The sequence below is a fragment of the Homo sapiens genome, chromosome 5 (genome assembly GCF_000001405.40).
Source record: "Homo sapiens chromosome 5, GRCh38.p14 Primary Assembly".
Classification (NCBI taxonomy): Eukaryota; Metazoa; Chordata; class Mammalia; order Primates; family Hominidae; genus Homo; species Homo sapiens.
Genome location: NC_000005.10, coordinates 62,255,403 through 62,275,596, shown reverse-complemented (window position 1 = coordinate 62,275,596; position 20,194 = coordinate 62,255,403). Strand labels below are relative to the sequence as shown.

At 40.0% G+C, this 20,194-nt stretch overlaps 2 annotated features.

Annotated features, from left to right (window-relative positions):
- Positions 4,001–4,295: a silencer, noted in NCBI's record as "tiled region #4645; HepG2 Repressive non-DNase unmatched - State 23:Low". NCBI's record gives its function as "represses a minimal TATA promoter and a strong SV40 promoter by Sharpr-MPRA in HepG2 cells {active_cell/tissue: HepG2}" and the evidence as "EXISTENCE:reporter gene assay evidence [ECO:0000049][PMID:27701403]".
- Positions 13,561–14,018: a transcriptional cis regulatory region, noted in NCBI's record as "candidate enhancer chr5.1488 targeted for multiplex CRISPR interference". NCBI's record gives its function as "positively regulates KIF2A gene expression with high confidence in K562 cells {active_cell/tissue: K562}" and the evidence as "EXISTENCE:mutant phenotype evidence [ECO:0000015][PMID:30612741]".

Genomic DNA, 20,194 nt, shown 5'->3' with positions numbered 1-20,194 from the left:
CTTGACATGCTCAGATGATTAACTCTGCAAAAATGGATTCTGGGCAGCTATCACACTAGATTAAAATTACATGTTTATAAGATTGTGTACCACAATTGTCATGGATCTTTCTGGCTGTCTCTCCAATAGAAAAATATATCCATGAATCAGGAGACTAAGCAGTATGGTAGAAAGAATATAAACTTTGGAGTTGGAAAAACTTGGATTTGAAGGCTGAGTGGCTGGGTGCAGTGGCTCACACCTGTAATCCCAGTGCTTTGGGAGGCCGTGGCAGGTGGATGGCCTGGGCTCAGGAGTTCGAGACCAGCCTTGGCAACATAGCATAAATCCCATCTCTATAAAAAATACAAAAATTAGCCGGGTGTGGTGGTGTGCTCCTGTAGTCCTAGCTACTTGGAAGGCTGAGGTGGGAGGATCACTTGACCCCAGGAGATGGAGGCTGCAGTGAGCCAAGATCGTGCCACTGCAATCCAGCCTGGGCAACAGAGCCAGGCCTTGTCTCAGAAACGAAAAACAAAAAACAACAGCAAAAAAAGAAAGACTTGGATTTGAACTCCAGGCCTGTCTCTTTTCCTGTCTCTTGGTAAGTTAACTAATGTATGTGAGCCTCAGTTTCTCCATCTTTAAAATAGAGATAGTATCATCTTTTGTAAGTTAAATAAGAAAATTTATGTAAAATGCTTATTAGAGTATCTGGTACTTTAGGTACACTATAGATATTAACATTTTCCTACCTTTGAAAGACCTGAATTAAACTAGAATAACTTTAGATATATTATAATAAGGCCAAAAGTCCTTAATGCACATTATCACAGTTATTAAAATAACATAGATTCCTAAAAGAAATACAATTGGGTCTATTAGCAATTAAGCTGGGGTCTATAAGTAACTTAAACTTTCTTCTTTAATAATATTATAAATGAAAACAATAATGCCATAATAATGATAATAGACATTTACTGAACACTATATGCCATACATTTTGTTATATGCACTATTTTATTCAGCCCTCACAACAATCTTGTGAGGCAAGTACTATGATGATCCCCATTTTAGGAAGGTTCAGTAACTTGTCCAAGGTCATACAATTAGTGAGTGGTAAGGCTGGGGCTTGAACTCAGGTCTAGATGACTTCAAGTTGTACACCTGAACTAAGCTGTGACAGTAGAAATAAAGAGGAGGTGATAAATGAAGAGATATTAAGAGTTAAAATGGATTAGACCTGGCTCTGTGGATGGGGTCTGAGGGAAAGAGTGGAGTCAAGGCAAGTAAACATGTCACTAATGGTGCTCTTCTAGGTAGATCAGTTTAATTACAGGTAACAAAAGCCCTGATCAGTTAACTTAACCCCTCCTTCCCCCGGGAAGAGTTTACTGTAAAACCGTAGGAGTGACCCAGAGAACCCAAAGCCAGGAATGCAGCTGCTGTAGGAACACAGGAAATATGTTCTCTCACTTCTTTAAACACCCGCTTCACTTGTTTCTGAGAGGGCAGGGTTCCTTAGCTCCCAACCCACATGGAACAATTAATTCATGGCTGGCCCACAGCTCCCAAATTTGCATAGTTTAGGTTCAGCTACATAGAGGAACATTCTCTCTTTCTCTCCTAATTTCAAATTCCCAGTGCAGACAATCAAGCTGACCCAGTTGGAGTCAGGTGCCCCTAGTCCAAGCAACTGTTGCCAGGGATGCAGGGTTATATGACACAAACTTGGCTTCTGGGAAACCATCCAAGGCTAGGGAGCAATCCCCAGAGAAGAGGGTCTACGTCGACAACCCTGTGTGTGGCCACCACAGTGCCATTCACTAAGAGGAAATGCCCAGAGCCCTCGGCAGTGGTAGTATCAAGGAGGCTAGGAGCTAGGGCCTTCACTCTGGGAATAGGTATACTTTTATGGGGAAAAGTTTGGGGGTATTCATGACGAGTTGAAAATAATTCGCTATTTTGGCCGGGCGCGGTAGCTCACGCCTGTAATCCCAGCACTTTGGGAGGCCGAGGCGGGCGGATCACGAGGTCAGGAGATCGAGACCATCCTGGCTAACATGGTGAAACCCTGTCTCTACTAAAAACACAAAAAAATTAGCCGGGCATGGTAGCGGGTGCCTGTAGTCCCAGCTACTCGGGAGGCTGAGGCAGGAGAATGGCGTGAACCCAGAAGGCGGAGCTTGCAGTGAGCCGAGATCGCGCCACTGCACTCCAGCCTGGGCGAGAGCGAGACTCCGTCTCAAAAAAAAAAAAAAGAAAATAATTCGCTATTTCAAGACTTTCCGTTGTCCTTCATTGTAGAGCCCAATATCTGTTCCTGGGTATCAACAGTATCAAGTTTTCATGTCATCAAAGACAGAGACTATCCATCATGCATTTCAACCTCTTAAATCTCATTTGACTTTAGAATGTTTTAAGTTCAGGTTATGGGGTGCTGTGGGGTAATGGGGTGCTCTTGTCAAAACCTCAGTGTTTTGGGGAAACCCTGACAGTATGGTAGCTGTAAAAAATTGTCATTTTTTAGTTGTAGTTGTTTCTGTTTTTGTTTTAAGGGTTGAGACTTAAACTTACCTCCGGGACAGATAGCTCTTTTATTTTGGAGAAACCTCCACTATAAAGCAAATTAAATTCTTTCTCATTGTTCATAGGAAAAAAACGTAATGAAGGGGGGTAACTCAGGAACAGATGCATCCAACAGAGCAGCTCTGTTTAGAAACCCATGTCTCCATCACTGACAATTCCCTTAGAAATGGGACTTAGGCCTGCATACTGACCTTCCAGCCTATCTTTCCCCATAGGGTGAGAAGTCTGCGGGGCGATGGGGGCATGCTTACTGGAGCCTGCTTTCCAATTTCTTGACCATGTTTTGGGTGTCAAGGACCCTTTAATTTCCTGCCCAAACATCCCTGAGCCTGCTCCAAGGATCTCTGCAGGCCTCTTTACTGAGTCTGGTTTCTTGATAATATCCCTAGGCCTAGGGATATATGGACAGAGCCTAAACGAGCAAATTGAGGGGTGACTACAGGTGAGGCCCCTTGAGGTATGGGAGCTGGATGGAAGAAGAGGGGTGGGTCAGGGCCCTCTTGCCCAGACACTGCAAATGTTATAGATGGGGCTGCCCTCAGAGTAGTAGTTCTCAAACCTTAGTATACAGAAGAGTTAATGGACGTTTTGTTTAAAATATTGATTGCCTGGGCCCTGCCACCAGAGATTCTTATACAATCAGGTCTTGCATGGTGTCCAAAAATCAGTATTTTAATAAGTCCTACAGAGACTACATGTTAGAAGATACTTCTTTGGAAATTTTATTTCCTTCTATTTGAATTTAGAAGCATAGTGCTTATTTATTTTTTCTTGTTCTTGTAGAGGTATTGTGTATGTATGTGTGTGTGTCATGTCAAAGAATTTTCCTTCAGGATAGTTGCAATGGAGTCCTCCAAAACTGCAGAAAATATACTTAGGGCTGACATTTTAACTTTTTGTTGGGGGAGTCCCCCTGGGGGAGCCTTGGTGTAGCACAGCTTAGTGTAGGTAGCACTGACATGGTGATGTTAAGAGTGGAGTGTGTGGATCATGGGAAGCGTGCTGATGGTGGACAACGATGGCTCTGATGTCTTTTGGGGGCTACGGTGTAAGAGCAGTGATGCCTTGAAGAGAGTGCATCATCCAGCAAAGAATCAGTTTCATGGCAGAAAATGAGGACCTGGGAGGTGGGCTTAAGGCTGGGGAGAAAGGGAAATCTCTGTTTTATTTTTTGAACTTGACATTTTGTCTGGGAATCTAAGTTGTGGAAATTTTTGGATTATTCTTGAGGGGAGAAGTGAGCTGACCTTTGCTAGGGAAACAGGCTACATTCCTGAGATTAGACCTCTGTGATCTCTAGTTGCCACTTCTAATGGAAGATATCAAAATTTGCTGGGTTTTTCCTCCCTCTCATTGTGCCCACACTTGAGGAATTAGGTAGAGATGAGGAGGAAATGGGTCTCCTCTTCTGAGGCCATAATGGTGGTAGGGGAGACTCACTGGTGCTCAGAGGCAGGTCAGTCTTGAGGCCCTTATCACTCAGGCTGCAGCATGGTAGGAAAACTAAGAAACCAAATACCAAGTTGTGCGCCTGAGCACATTTAAGAGACAATATTTGGGAAACACAGAGCTAGCTAGCTGGTGGATACTTTGAAGAGAGCTAGTTTCTAGCAATGAAGCTGAAGTGGCTTGTTCCTTTGTCAGTTGGCTTGATCTTGTATCTTAGTTACAGGCTGGGGCCAGGGACTTTTGGGTCACATTCATGATCTTTGTGAATGTCTCTTAGCATGTTTTTGCTCTGACCTTGATGGGGAAGACACTTTCTGCTGGTTCTATGTAGAACTCTGAACAGGACAATTTAGGTCCACCCTTCGTGTAAGGACAGCCTGATCCAACAGTGACACATCTAGTAATGAAAAAGAAGGGTTCCAATGACATATTTTGCTATGTAATAAAGTATGGGTAGAAATTCATTCTCAGAGGTAGAGATGCTACAGAAAGCATAGGAAGATTCTTAGGGCTGTGAGAAAAAGGGGAAATGTAACCATAAAATGATGGTTGATGAGAAAGATAAAAATAAAAGAGATTAAAGTCTGACTAATAGGTTCAAAATTTTCATTATTACCCGGGTTTTAATGAAAAAGTTTCTCATTAATCCAAAGGGAATCAAAACCTGAGGCCTGGAAAGCCCCCAGTATTTTAAGGGATGGGGTATTTTGGGAAAGTCAGAGGATTACGAGAAGTGGAAACGTATGTGGTTATTTAAGTCAGAAGGGCATAGGTTTAGGAAGTCTAAATGTGAGATGCAATCTGACCATAAACAGGCTCATCACAACATTTACTGGCTTATTCTTGAAAGACAATAAGGGGCACTCTGGCCAGGCGCGGTGGCTCACGCCTGTAATCTCAGCACTTTGGGAGGCCAAGCGGGCGGATCACCTGAGGTCAGGAGTTCAAGACCAGCCAGGCCAACAGGGCAAAACCCCGTCTCCACTAAAAATACAAAAATTAGCTGGGTGTGCTGGCGCATGATTGTAATCCCAGCTACACGGGAGACTGAGGCAGGAGAATTGCTTGAACCTGGGAGGTGGAGGTTGCAGTGAGCCGAGATTGTGCCACTACACTCTAGCCTGGGCAACAGAGCAAGACTCCATCTCAAAAATAATAATAAAATAAAATAAAAAATAAAAAAGGGGGCATTCTATGCCCCTATGACAAGTAGTCTGGGTCATGATCTTAAAGGGCTAACTTTGTTACCTTTGCTTAGGTAAAACACCAGGAAGGTATAGAACAATGAACTGATAAGCCCAGAACCTGTAGTTCAATATTCTTATGTTATATTTAAGAACTAGGCTTGCAATGAAATCGCTTTTGTATATTCTGTTTGCATTTTAGGCTTAAGAGGATTTGAGCTTCTAAATTTGAAGATCTGGTTTATCACATTTATACAATTGCTTAAAAGAAAGATTTTGTTTGTTTTCTTATATTGACTTGTAAAGTGATTGAAGAGTTTGTCATTATAATTTAGGAGCCTAAGAAAATCTGATTAATCAAATGTTTACATAGCTAAACATTTACAGGAGTTTGAGTTTTCAAATGTAAGAGATATTTGAGCATTAATCAAAGAAATACAAATGATTGTTCTTATTTGATATAAAATTATTAAGAAAAACATATTTTTAAAGTTACATTTAAAATAAACTACATGCTAAACAAAATATTAGTAATTGTAAATATGCTTTTCTGTACACAAAAGTCCCATCCGATAATAAAAGCTTGAACCTTGGTTGTTAGACTCTCACTGCCTCAGTGCAAATTCTGGCTCCACTATTTTCTCCCTTGAGCAAGTTACTCAATTTCTCTGCTCCTTTTTCTCATTGTAATATGGAGATAACAGGAATACTATCTCCTAGGGTTATTATGCGACTTAAATGAGATAAAACAAGTATTTAGAATAGTGTTTGGCATATACTAGATGGTCAATAAATGAATATTATACTACTATGAATTTTAAAATAAAAAAACCTCAGTGTACAATAAATAAATATAGCCACACATCTCTGCTGGGGCATTGATATGAATTCAAGTGAAGAGAACCAGAGATGGAGGGGCCACAGGTGACTATGGTTTGCAGTACTTGATTCTTCTCAGTGGTTACCTGGCTTTTGAAACTCAACATATTATTAAAAAAAAATTTCAAAAACTCATCTGTTAATGACACCCAGCAGTTTAAATAACAAAATTCCTAAAAGAAAAGCGCACATGTATGGCTCTGCATGGGAATTTGCACATAGTGGTGATGGGGTTAACATAAGTTAACCTACAAAACATATGAATGAAAAAATGTTTGATCTCATAGGTAAAGATGAGGATTATTGCTATTTTCATTAGATGGCAACAATTTAGTAAAAGCATGTGATTGCCACAATCAGTTGTATGGAGAAGTCAAGTATGGAAACTGATTGCATTTGTGCCAAAGCTGAACTTTGTTTTGATTTAATAAGAGACTTGGACAAGATATATTCATGGCTCATCCTTTTCCTATACAAGAAAAATAGAGCGAGTGTGCAGAGGGGAACTTGAGCAATAAAGAACCACATCCTACATTCTACCCACATCAGACCATTTTTGTGTTCTGCCAAAGAGTAGAACAAATGGGAGAAGGGAGATAGTTTATTATCAGATATTAAATAGCAAGTTCAACTTGCTATTTGTGTAATGGTAAATACAGCACTGCAACTCAGGCTGAAATCTTATTAAGCCTGAAGAAGGTGGGAGTGTAGTTAGCATAAATCCGTGGTTAAAAGACCCATGGAATTTGGGAATCACCAACTCTGTTAATTGCTTGTTGCTTCTTATTTTAAATTAGTAGCCCATCTGTTACTACAAAATCATTGAATTATATGACACTTTACCCCTTTCAAGTCTCCTACCTACTTCTAATTCTTCTCTCAACAAGACCCATGTGGTTTTGCTTTTCATAAAGACTCCCAGGGAAGAGATTTTACAACTTCTCTTGTTAGTGCTTCTATAGCTGTCAGCCCACATCACCAGGAAATCTTTCCTTGTGTCTCTTAGGAAACCCCCTTAAAATTAATGAGTAACTAAATCTTGCTCCTGAGTGGGAGGGCAAGAGAATAGAATATGAGTCTGCCAAACCAAAGGTAAATGGAGCCTTAGTTTGTTATTTGACATCTGAGCTTCCAGAAGTGGTGGAGCAACTTCAGCAGGTGAATCACAGACTGGAAGGAGATGTGATTGGTTCCTGGCCCATCCCCTTTGTTTTAAGGAGAGTGAGATGGAACTGTGCCAGAGAGTAGTACTGTAAAACACAGCAGAACCTCAGCTCGCTTCTGAAAACTTTAGGAATTTGGAGACAGCCGGATATATAGTATTTATCATTTTTAAAAAGTTCATTTTAAGTAAAGAGATCTTAATGTATATTCTCTTATTTAAAAAATATACATATATAATATTCTTATATATTTGGCTTTTAAAAACACTTCAAAATTTTAACATGTGGTTCAAAATAGAATAGTTTATTAAAAAGTCAGGTTGCTGAGTCAGGGTAGGGATCGATGGAACTGTTTTAGAAATGGCTGAGGTGATTGAGTGACATATGTCATGACCATTAAAGACAAGGAAAATCTAATGTCTTTCCAGATGGAAGCTGATTAAAAAAACAAAGATCTCTGAATTGAAATCTATGAATAGAGATTGAAAATCAAGTTAAATTCAGATTAGATGACTCCTAGTAACTTGGGTAGTGGCAAAGAAGCTACTTAAACATTGGCAAGAAGGCCTAAGAGAATTATTGCAGTTTCCAAGCCTGAGACTTGGGAACAATGAAATGGGCCAGATCAGAAAAATTTGAGGCCAGAAATCTGTGCTAATAAAGAACCCTAGAACAGGGCTGAGAAAGTGGAGATTTGAGCGACAAAGTGTGGGGTAGAAAAAAGATAGGCAAGTCCAAGTATCATCAGCATAGCTCCAATTCAAGCCCCAAATTCAGTTTTCTGCCCTGATAGAAGCAGCAGAGGCAATAGTCATTCCAAGTGGCAGAAAATTAGCACAGAAACAGGCAAGGAAGAGCAGGACTGCCACTGGTCTTAAGGTGCTTTGGGGCTCTATGACAGGTCTCAAAGGTTGGCAAGTACATTGTAGTCTGGATGTTGGCTTCCATCAACTGGAACCCACATGCAGGACACAACCTACACAAATGCACACAGAGGCGCTGCAGAGCAAGTGCAAATTCAGGGTTGTTAGGGGTAGGGTCCTGGAATCTGTATTTCATTCCTTAAAAAAAAATACATATTTTTTTTTGCAGAAGTAGTACCTGCTTATTGAAATCAAAAATCAAATAATATATGCATAAAGGAAAGAGTGAAAACTCATCTCTCCTTTTTACCCCATCACCAACTCTCTAGGATTAAACACTCCTTACAGATTTTCTTTGCGCACATGAAAATGTATCCATACTATCTGTATTAATGTTTCCTATAGGATAAAAAACTATGATGTAATATTCGCAAAAATGTCTTTGCCTACTTGGAATTCAGGTTTTTGGTTGTGGTGACGAAGAAAATAAGTTAAAGGAGATGTATAATTTAAAGGTGCCTGAGATATTTGTTATCAGTAAAGTCCTAGCAGGAAACAGATAGTATATTTGGGCAGGGGTCACTAAGAAGAGCGTAATTAAAGGATAAAGGGGTGGACAGGATTTAAAGAAGCCAACAGAGCTGCTGAAGTGCCCTAGGGCCAATAACAACCAGGGGCTCTTACCTCTCCTAGACCTCATGGGGCAAGGGGTGGGGCCTGTTACCAGAACTTGGTCAGCGTCACCCTAATAGGAGCTGTGCTGACAACTCAGCATAGCAGGATTCAGGGGAGCAAAACCAACTTGACTCCATTCTCCTCCCGTCCACCTTCCTCTGCCAAGGCTCCCCACTGGCCCAACTCAATCCGAAGCCAGAAGGCAAAGGGGCCTGTCAAGACAGTCCATCTAGGTCACCCATGCAGGCCACAGAGCAGAATAGAGAATAAGACTAGAAGGATAACTGGAGGATATCCAACATAACATTTCCTAAAGAATATATTTTAGGAGGCAGGAGGAGGGATGGAAAAAGATAGCAGAGACCTGTCTACAAAGGAAAAGAGAGGTTGGGGAATTTAGAGAAAGCGGAAGAATATTGAGTTCTGTCACTGTTGTTGCTGCTACTGCTGCTGGTCTCTCTCTCTGTATGTACTTGTGTGTGTGTGTGTGTGTGTGTGAGAGAGAGAGAGAGAGAGAGAGGGAGATGGACAAAAGGGATTTTCAAGACATGTGCTACAGATTATAAATGGAATGCTCTTTAATGATCCATAAGCCTACTGTAAAAATTGTATTTCATTTTCAAGTACTCTGGGTGGTTAAAATGCTGGGTTTTTTTCTTTTTCTTACAATACATACAGATTTTTATATAAGGAGGTACTTAGTAACATATTCTTAGATGCACAGAAAAGGACTAGAAGGGAATGTACCAAAATGTTAACAGATGCAATCTCTAGGGAGTGGGATTAGAGATGATTTTTATTTATTTAGTGCTTTTAGTAATATTTTCCAAGCTTTTGGTCATGGGCCTGCATTATCTTGCAGAACCAGGCTTGGCCCTAGGCCCTTTTTCTTTATTTACACTCTCCCTAGGTCATCTCATCCATTCTTATAAGTTTAATACTATCTAAACCCTGAAAACTCCTATATTTCTATTTCTAGCCCAGACTTCTCTCCTGAGATCCACACTACTATGGCCAACTGCACCCCTTGGCTGGCTAATGGATATCTGAAAGCCACATGGCTAAAATAAAGGTCTTGATTCACCACCTCTCCATCTAATTGCCTGGCCACTTCTTACCAAGGACTGGTGTTTTTAAAACAGATTTTGCCTAGTTAATTCACACAGCAAAATTTTAAAAGGTACAAAAGGTTAACTATTATAAAATATGTGCCTGTTCTACTCCAAATTTTGTTTTCCTGTTCCTGTAATCAGTTCTCCTCTCCCAAAACATTTCCTGTGTTTCTTATCTTCTTTGTTCATGTAAATATATGTAAATATACACCCTTTTCATTTTACATAAAAGTTAGCATATTTTATCCACTGCTCAGCATCTTGTACTTTTAATGATCTACCTTGGAGATATTTCTATACTAGTACAGCATATATAGAGCTGTTTATTTTAATAATATTTGCATAGCATTCCATTGTGTGGATAAGGCTAATTTTTTTAAAACAAGACCCTATCTTGAGGCTAGGTTGTTTACATTCCAGTTATATGTAATGACAAATTACAATAAAAGTTGTACCATACCAGACCCACTATCATACAACCTTTCTTTTTTTGACCCATCTATATAATACAGGCATTCTTCCACATTAGTGTGTGCAGAGCTACCACTTTCTGTTTAATCATGGCTTTCATATTCTGTAATATTGATGTGCTGTAACTCACCCAACCATGCCTTGTTTATGAACCCATAGGTTTTCTCCAGTGTTTTGCTTTCATAAACAATGCTGTGATGAACATCTTCCTTCAATTCCCTATGGCAGTGTTCACCACACTTCGCTTTTCTCCAGGACACATAGCTGGTCTACATTTCCCAGGCTTCCTTACAGGTAGCCTTGTGATCAAGTTCTGTAAAGGAATGTGAATGGGAGTGATGCTTGTCACTTCTGGACCTGGTCCATAGAAAGAAATCTCTGGTACCATCCTCCATCTGTTCTCTCCCCATTTTCAACTTAATAGAGGTGACTCCAAGGATCTAGAGAAAGGTAGAGTCACAAGACAAATCTTCAAATGATTTTGTGAGCAGAGCGCCCCTGCTGACTTGCATTGGTGACATGAACACAAAACATACATTTATTATAATGAGCCACTGAGGTTTTTGAGATTTAAAAAGTTTTTGTTAGACTGCCCTAAATACTACAACACCCATACACACTTCTACAGGGAGTTTTCTAGGGTTGATTCTGAGAATAGAAATTACTGGGCTTCAATGGCCTAAACATTTTAAATTTGACACTTCTTGTCAATTCATTCTCCAAAAAGTGTACTTCAGCTTATACTTCCTTCCATATACATAAAAATGGTCAAGAAGAATGAAAATATAATGTACATTTATTTTTATGTTATTTACGTTTATTTTATTTATTTATTTATTTGAGACAGAGTCTCACTCTGGTCGCCCAGGCTGGAGTGCAATGGCATGTTCTTGGCTCACTGCAACCTCCACCTCCCAGGTTCAAACAACTCTCCTGCCTCAGCCTCCCGAGTAGCTGGGATTACAGGTGCCCGCTACCACGCCTGGCTAATTTTTGTATTTTTAGTAGAGACGGGGTTTCACCACATTGACCAGGCTGGTCTTGAACTCCTGAAAGGTGATCTGCCTGCCTCGGCCTCCCAAAGTGCTGGGATTACAGGCGTGAGCCACCACACCCGGCCATGTGCATTTATTTTATAAAATCTATTTAAAATTCTTATAATTTATAAAATCTGTTTATATTCTTATAATTTATAAAATCCATTCATAAAATAAGTATTTTTATTAAAATGGTGATTAACATGAAACCTGAAAAATTAAAGCTGTTTAATTACTTTAAATGGTAAACATAAAAACTGATATTATCCAAAAGATTGTTGGTTTCCAGTCTTGGTGGGGATAAGAGGGTATCTGTGCTTAGCTAAAGTCTCTCTAGGAGATTCTTAGGCCAGATTTGGAAACCACTAGACTGATGTGTTGTTGGTTCCAAGTGGTTAAATGGGATAAGTTTAATGGTACCCTTCAGAATGTATCATAAAATCCATATATACCAATGGAAGAATCTTATTCAGCTTGGGCTCAGTCTGAAAGTTGTACTTCTACTCTTCTTGCCTCTAGCAGGCCTTAGAACTCATCTAATCATCCAGCACAAACAGGACAGCAAGGCAGTAGCAGAGTCCTTGAGCATCAAGAGCTGTAGGGTTGAGCAAATATAGATACAACTCCAAGGTAAACAGCTCACTGGTAGCAGACATTTTGCAGAAATTTCCTGGTAAAAACCAAAGTTTCCTTAGAAATCAATTGGTGGGGACTTTGTCTGAATTTGCTCAAAATTTAGATTCAAAAATAAAAAACAACCAAAACCAGTAATTGAATAGTTTCTACAATTGACATTGGCCACTACAATTCAAGAAAGTAATCATTCCTGCAGAGATGAAATGAATCAGCAGAAACTATCCATTAATAAAGGAAAAGATAACTAGACAAGAACAGACACCATTCCCTAGCCAATATCTGCCAAAAGGATTTGTTAAATCCTTAGGATAAAAAATTGAAAGTTAACATGAGAATCCTAATAGTTATTTTTTTGTTAAAATTGACTATATTATAAACTGTATGTGGGTCTTATTTCTTAGTGTGGGCTAAATTCTCAAATAGTCCTATAGCTATTTTTAATAAAATTTCAAGTTAATTCTTGTAGATATGATCATAGGGAGCAGGATCACATATAATCTGAACTGACAACTATGAGTATGATTTTGGTGTACAGAGTGAACATTCTAGATCAACCATCCACCTTCCAGACAGGTGTCTTTTTAAGACATGCTCCTGTCTGAGGGCATTGCGTTTTCCATATGCTGCTACCTCTGGGGAGGTCTGATGGCAGTGTTAACTTCCAGCAATAGGCAGGTTGAAATTCAGTACCATGAAATTAATTTATTAGTGGTAGGTTCTGGGATATCCAGAAAGAGCTGCATTGTAGAGGAAAAAGCCAAGACATTATGATAATTGCAGAACAATCAGAAAGGCTTTTTTGACATTAAGCAACTGACCTGGTGTTCCTTAGTCTCCTGGGCTAACAACAGCACTGAAATTAGAGGCTGTGGAAGAAGGTCATTAGACAGCCCTAGTTGTAAATATTAGGAGACTGTAGGGACAGGAGTCCTATTGCAGTATGCCTAGTGTCTTATTTATTTTTGTATCATTTTATTCATTCATTTATTCAACAAACATTTACTGAATACCTCCTATGTGCCGTTTATGATGATATGGAGAATACAATGGGGAGCAAGGTGAACCTGGTCCTTGTTCTCATGAAACCTTCCTGCATACTGCTGTGTGCTTCATGAAGTCAGTCATGGCAGTTCCATTTCCGTTGCTACTGTTTGGTTCATGAATGGATATATGATTCAGTTCTGGCCACTGAGACTTGAGAACGCACAAACCAGAAGGCGTCTGAGATAGGTTTCCTTCTTTTTTTTTTTTTTTTTTTTTTTTTTTTTTGAGACGGAGTCTCGCTCTGTCGCCCAGGCTGGAGTGCAGTGGCGCGATCTCGGCTCACTGCAAGCTCCGCCTCCCGGGTTCATGCCATTCTCCTGCCTCAGCCTCCCGAGTAGCTGGGACTGCAGGCGCCCGCCACCACGCCCGGCTAATTTTTTTTTTGTATTTTCAGTACAGACGGGGTTTCACTGTGTTAGCTAGGATGGTCTTAATCTCCTGACCTCGTGATCTGCCCGTCTCGGCCTCCCAAAGTGCTGGGATTACAGGCATGAGCCACCGCGCCTGGCCGGTTTCCTTCTTTTTAAAAAGAGACATGGAAAGACCAGCTGTAACTGTTTATAAATGGCAGCCATTTTGTGACCATGAGGGAGCTAGCCTGAAGATGAAATCTGCATGTGGAGGACGGCAGAGCAGAAAGCTGGGAAGCACCTGCATCCGTGGTCAACTGCAGAGTCACTGACCACAGCAGCCCTGGAGCTGCCTGTCTGTGAACTTATTTTGTGAGATAAGAAATGTCTATTGTTTAAGGCAGTCTAGCCAAGATGTTACTTGCAGTTAAAGGCCAACTATCTGATATGTTCTCCAGAATATTCACTGCAATTCACCTGATAGTGACTTGATAGTAAATATGTGGTTCTAAGAAGGAGGTAAAGTTTTAAAGCCTGTCTCACAATGCTAAACAGTAGTGAAAAGGACACCCAGTGTTTGCTAGGGAAAACTTTAAGAGGTTTCTGTAACTTGGGAATTCTGAAGACAATTGTGTGTGTGCACATGTGTGTTTGTGACATATTTGCGATTTTAAACTGAGTGGAGAATTCTTTGCACCTTTGCTTTACAAGGAAATGTGTGTTTTAAAGCCACTGTAGTTATGACTTCTTAGAAAAGGGCACTAGATGAAAGAAGGAAGATTGCTAACTCTTTTTTTTTTTTTTGGAGACAGAGTCTCACTCTGTCACCCAGGCTGCAGTGCAGTGGTGCGATCTTGGCTCACTGCAGCCTCTGCCTCCTGGGTTCAAGCAATTCTCTTCCTCAGCCTCCTGAGTAGCTGGGATTACAGGTGCCCACCACCACATCCACCTAATTTTTTGTGTTTTTAGTAGAGATGGGGTTTCACCATCTTGGCCAGGCTGGTCTTGAACTCCCGACATTGTGATCCACCTGCCTTGGCCTCCCAAAGTGTTGGGATTACAGGCATGAGCCACGGCACCAGGCTGAAGATTGCTAACTCTTAATGAGTGCTTCCCAGGAGGCCTGGGCACATGCTAATGCTTTACATACATTGTCTTAACTCTTCTTCAAAACAATAAATACTATTTCTCATTATAACAAAAAAGGCAATATGGCTGAGAAATAACTTGCCCAAAGTCACAGATAAATGGTAAAAACTGAAGCCTGGATCCAGGTCTGTGTGATTCCAAACCCCATGCACTTAAGCCTTATGGGGACAAGCCGTACCGGCCACTTTCCAAAGTCTGCCTTTCGTAGTTTTCCCTCATGAACCGAGCAGCAATGTCTGGAGGTTCCCTTGTTAGTTATGCAAATAGCAAAGCTGGTTACACAATGGAGAGAAGGCCAATTCTGGCACTAATTTTAGGGCAAACCACAGATGTCTTTGATGTTTTCATTGTACATGAGAACAGAGCCAGTGATCCGACAGCTGCTGGCAGCCCTAATAAAATATGCAGAATATTAAGGCAGTTTTATCTCAGTGCCTAATTACAGCTGGCAAGGGGAAATTTATTTTGCAAAGGAGGAGATATCAAATGGTATAAATGCAACATATAACCAAATATGATTGCTTCATTCTATTTTCTCAGGGCTCTGCAATTATAGAGCACTTTTTGGAAAAGTGTTATTAATTGACAGTCCTCTCAAGCTATGTAACCAAAACTTTGTTTTAGATATTATTGGAACAGTTCAACTGCTTTATTGCCTTATACTTAAATTTATTTTCTTCTTTTGCCTTAGTTATAAAATACATCCAGCACTTAATTCCAAAAGTAAATGTAATTACAACATTCTTGTCTAGTCCAGGTTTTTACACCCACATAACCAATGTGATGGGACCGTAATTCAATGTTTTCTTGCCTTGGAAAATTGTTTCATATATGTAATGACAGAGAAATAGCTTTATAATGCTGATACAGGAGCAAAGAACTAATAGTTGGCTACTTCAACAAGCAGTAATCATAGCTGGATGAGGCTCTGACATTTCAGCTTCATGTGGCTTACACCATATGTGGCCATGGCTGCAAGCTGCATGATGTTGAAATAGGATACACAGGCCAGATCTCCTTCAAAGGAGGACTTGCTGCCCAGCTGTGGGTGGGCACTCCAGCTGTTTGTTCTTTCAGGGTCTGTCTCAGCTATAGAGTCACCTCCTGATGTCATGCCCTTCCATAGTCACATAGTCCACATCCAGTGACTATGTGAGATGAAGTACAAAGGCCCAGACATTGTAGCATGGTATGGCACATTCTCATCCTACAGCCCTCCCTGTTTCCCCTTCCCTCCAGTGTTGATCTCTCATAAATATCTTACACCCCAGATTCTACCTAGGCATGTCTCGTCATCTGCTTCTAGAAAAACCAACTGGTGACACCATAAAAACAGAACCATTTATCAAACGGTTCTACCTTTTTCAGGGAATGATCTTTCAGCCATCATTTGAGAACATAATATATGTTGAATTAAAGCCCCATGATGACTTTCAGTACTAAATGACCACATTAAAAATTATCAGTTAGTTATATTCCAGAAACTTAATTTTTTTCAACATACGAAAATGCACTGCTAAAATAATAAGTTTTTATTTTTCCTAAATCTTTCTTGGCTTCAGTGCAGCATCTGACACTCACTGTAAACTCCTCTTTCTTGAAAATCTTTTCTCTGTTTGATTTCAAAGAAAAATTAAGCTCTATTTTTCTTTCTATTTTTCTGGTTGCTCCTTTATAATCTGTGTCTGGTGCCTGCCTTATGATGGTGTATCCCAAGATTCTGTCCTTGACTTTGCTCATCTACCTTTACTCATTTTTCATAGATACACTCATCTTCAACCTCTGCTAATGTCTTGGTTATGCCTAGTTTTTGAGTTTTCAGTTCAGACCTTGCTGTGGAGCTTCAGAGCCATATAGTTTCTCAAAACAAGAACACCCCCGAATAGAATGTTTTATCTTCACATCCTTTCATCCAAAACACTCCAAAATGAAAACAACCAACAATGGCAACCTGTTCATCCTCCAGTGGTCCTGTGGCCTTCAATGGCACCACTACTCATCCTGTGGTCTTAGCCTGAAATCAGGGAGGCATCCTAGATTTCTTCCTCTCACTCTTGCTTCATATCCAAGCAGTCCCAAGAGCTTAGATGATTCTCTCTCTTTTTAAAAATTTTATTTTAGAAACAGGGTCTTGCTGTGTTGTCTAGACTGGAGTGCAGTGATGCAATCACAACTCACTGCAGCCTCAAACTCCTGGGCTCAAGGGATCCTCCCACCTCAGCCTCCAAAGTAACTGGGACTACAGGTGCATGCCACCATGCCCAGCTAATTTTGTTGTTGTTGTTGTTGAGGTGGGATCTCATTGTGTTTTCCAGGCTGAGATTCTCCCTTTTAAACAGCTTGAGTCATTCCACTTCTTTCTTTCCACTGTCTCTTATCCCTTCTTCCATTAGTGGCTTGAAGTTTTTGATATCGTCATATTACCTTCCTCCTTAAACACATCATTTTCTACCATCTGATCATGCTATGTCACTGCTTAAAATCTTTCCGTGGTTTCCAACTTGGCATGCAAAGTCCCTAATGATATGAGGCCTTGTCTATCTAGTCTCATTGTCAATCATTCTTCAGTGTCTACTTTACCAGTGCCTTGGACATAAACGCATTAGGCAGAGCCATGTTTCAGTGCCTGAGAAAGATGCAGTTCCCTCTGCCCTTAGCATGAAGCTCCTTCCCCTTCCTACTCATCCTCCCTTCATCTAGCTCGTATTCATCCTTCAAAACTCAGCTCCTGCTGAGACCATCTTTGGAAAAGTCCTCCTAGATGCCTCCACTACCCTGTCACCTAAGAACATATCTATCAAGATATTATCCTATTGTGAAGGGACTTGTCTCAAACTGATCTACAAAGTTCCTTGAAAACTCCTGGTTGGAGTTTACACTGGGATATGCCTACTAAATAGTAGGCTTCATAATGTATTTGTGCAATTAATGAAAATGAAGTTGTATAAACATATAATTACCTGTCAGTGAACCATTGTAATAGTAGATTACCAAAATGCACACAAACATTGACATATTGCCAGGTAGAACCTTTGCAAAACCTTTAGAAAAGGCTTTTGGCTGGGCACAGAGGCCCATGCCTGTAATCCCAGCACCCTGGGAGGCTGAGGCAGGAGGATTGCTTGAGCCCAGGAGTTTGAGACCAGCCTGGGCAACATAGTGAGACTGTCTGTATAAAAAGTAAATTTTAAAAAATTAACTGGGCACAGTGGCGTGCACTTATAGTCCCAGCTATTCCGGAGGCTGGGATGGGAGGATCACCTGAACCCAGGAGATCGAGGCTGCAGTGAGCCATGTTTGTGCCACTATACTCTGGCCTGGGTGACAGAGTGAGACCCTGTCTCAAAAAAACAAAAAAAAGGAAAAGGGTTTTTTTAAATCAATACTATATATTACACACACACACACACACACACACACACTCACACACACACATTGATAACATCTATATTGGCTTTTACTTTAAAAAGTTAATATACATAACAAAATTATTTATAAATAAATTATATATAATATAAAATTAATTTCACATTTTATAATATTATATAAAATTTTATATTTAGACAAGAAAAGTATATATACTTCAATTTTTTATATAATTTAATAATATTATGTATTTTAATATAAATTCATGCTATGTAAACGATAGGTATTATAAATTCTCTATATAAATTATAGATATAACACTTTACATGTAACATAAGTTCTTTTAATATAATTTTTGAAAGGAAATGCCATTGTAGATGTTGCCAATGAGGACTTTTGAGTAGGTGTAGTATTTTTCATGAAGTAGCTCACAGTTTTTGCCTCTTTAAACTGATTGTCAACATATGGGTAAATAACAATCTGCTGACTTTGAAAAATTAGTTATAATCCATTTCACATAATGCATGCAAAACACAGCAGGCAATGGCCCATAATTGAAGGATTAGTTTGGGGCCTTAGGGTGGTTTTTAAAATTCACAGGCTGATAGAATGTTACACCCCATATGGACCCAGAATATTCTCATCAGGGAGTTTCCAGTACTCTCGTTCCTCCTACAGAATACCACGTGTTCCATGTTCAGGAGAGCACTTCCTCCATCCATCAGTACAGCAGCTGGAGATCTTCCCTGGTGATAAAGTAGGCAGGAGGCTGAAAGCGCCTTATAGGAATCTGAATCCTGCCTGAATAGATTTGTTAAACCACTTAGGTCATTTCTAATTTTTTCTGCTGTCGAAGGCACACTGCAGCTTTTCCTTGTCTTGTGCCTGAACCTTACATCCTGCTACAATTGCTCTATGTGCACCATTCCTTTTGGATTTTAGTGGCTTACCAGTGTAGAATTAGAGGCTGCTCTGTTATCTTTTACTTTTCCTCACTGTGGTTTTTACTCTCACTTTACTCCCACCTATCTGCGTTGATTTGTGCTATTTCCTGTGTATGATTTGCACGTCTGCAGTTGCTTTTTGTCTCTAGTTACTGCTTTCTTTTCCTGTTTGTCTTGTTCTTGTAGGACCCTTTCTGACTCTCTCAAGAGAGACCTTTTCAACCCCAACTCCCTCTGGTCTAATCCTAACCAGCACCAGCTGGTTGGGAAGTAGAGCAGGAACTCTGGCTGCCCTAATCTACATGGTGCTCTCTGCTCCTGGGCAGAGGTGTGTTTTTATATACTATTCTCTTGAGTATGAAATGCCTGAACAAAGCAGTGATTTGGCAAGCCTGAAGCCACACACTGGGGCTCATAGTAACTTGCTTCTACTAGCAACGTGAGCATTAGAAACATTTCCTGGCCAAGTAGGCTTGAATTCGCTAGAAGTAGGGGTGCAATGAGTCTGGGTTCACTTTGCTCAGGGTGACAAGGCTGTAGAGTATTGGTTAATTGTCAAACTCTTTTGTTTAAGAGACAAGGTAAACATACATACATACATAGAGAAGCTTTCTAGGGTTACTTAGGCTTTATGTGATTACTAGCAGAAATGTTTTATTTGCAAGCAAAGCTTATAAACCACCTCTTAGATATCTTTGCAAAATGAAGCTAAAACATGGTTTAAAGAATCAAAAATATAAGATATTTACAATGATTTATAATTGAATCAGGAATGCATTTGGTATTTTTTAAAAGGAATAATTGGCTAAGATTTAAATTAATTTGCTTTCCTTAAAAACCCAGAGCCTAAACAATGGAAAGAAATAGAAACAGTTACACTGGGTGTGTGAGGGGTGGAGGCGGGGGACCCAACTGGGACTGAAATTTCTTGGAGAAAATCTACAAAATCAGCCAAGCACACATGGATTGTGTGACTTCATTTAGTTGGAGGAGAACTGAGCAACCCACTGATCTCAAATGTCTTTCCCCAGGAGAAATAATCTCTCTTGTCTTGGAATGGCTGTAGCACTGAAAGTCTATTCCACCCTTGGCACTTACCTTAATCTATGCTGTAATATTATCTCTTTTAGAAATGTTTTTATCTCTTCATTATAACAATTATCTTTTTATGTGCCTGACTTACCTAGGATGCTCATTCATTCCGGTGGCCTGGAACAGTTCTGATTTGCGCCCGTTGCCATGGTTTAATTAATAGTGCCCCCTTTCACTCTCAGAAGTGTCTTGGTTTGGATGATAAATTATAA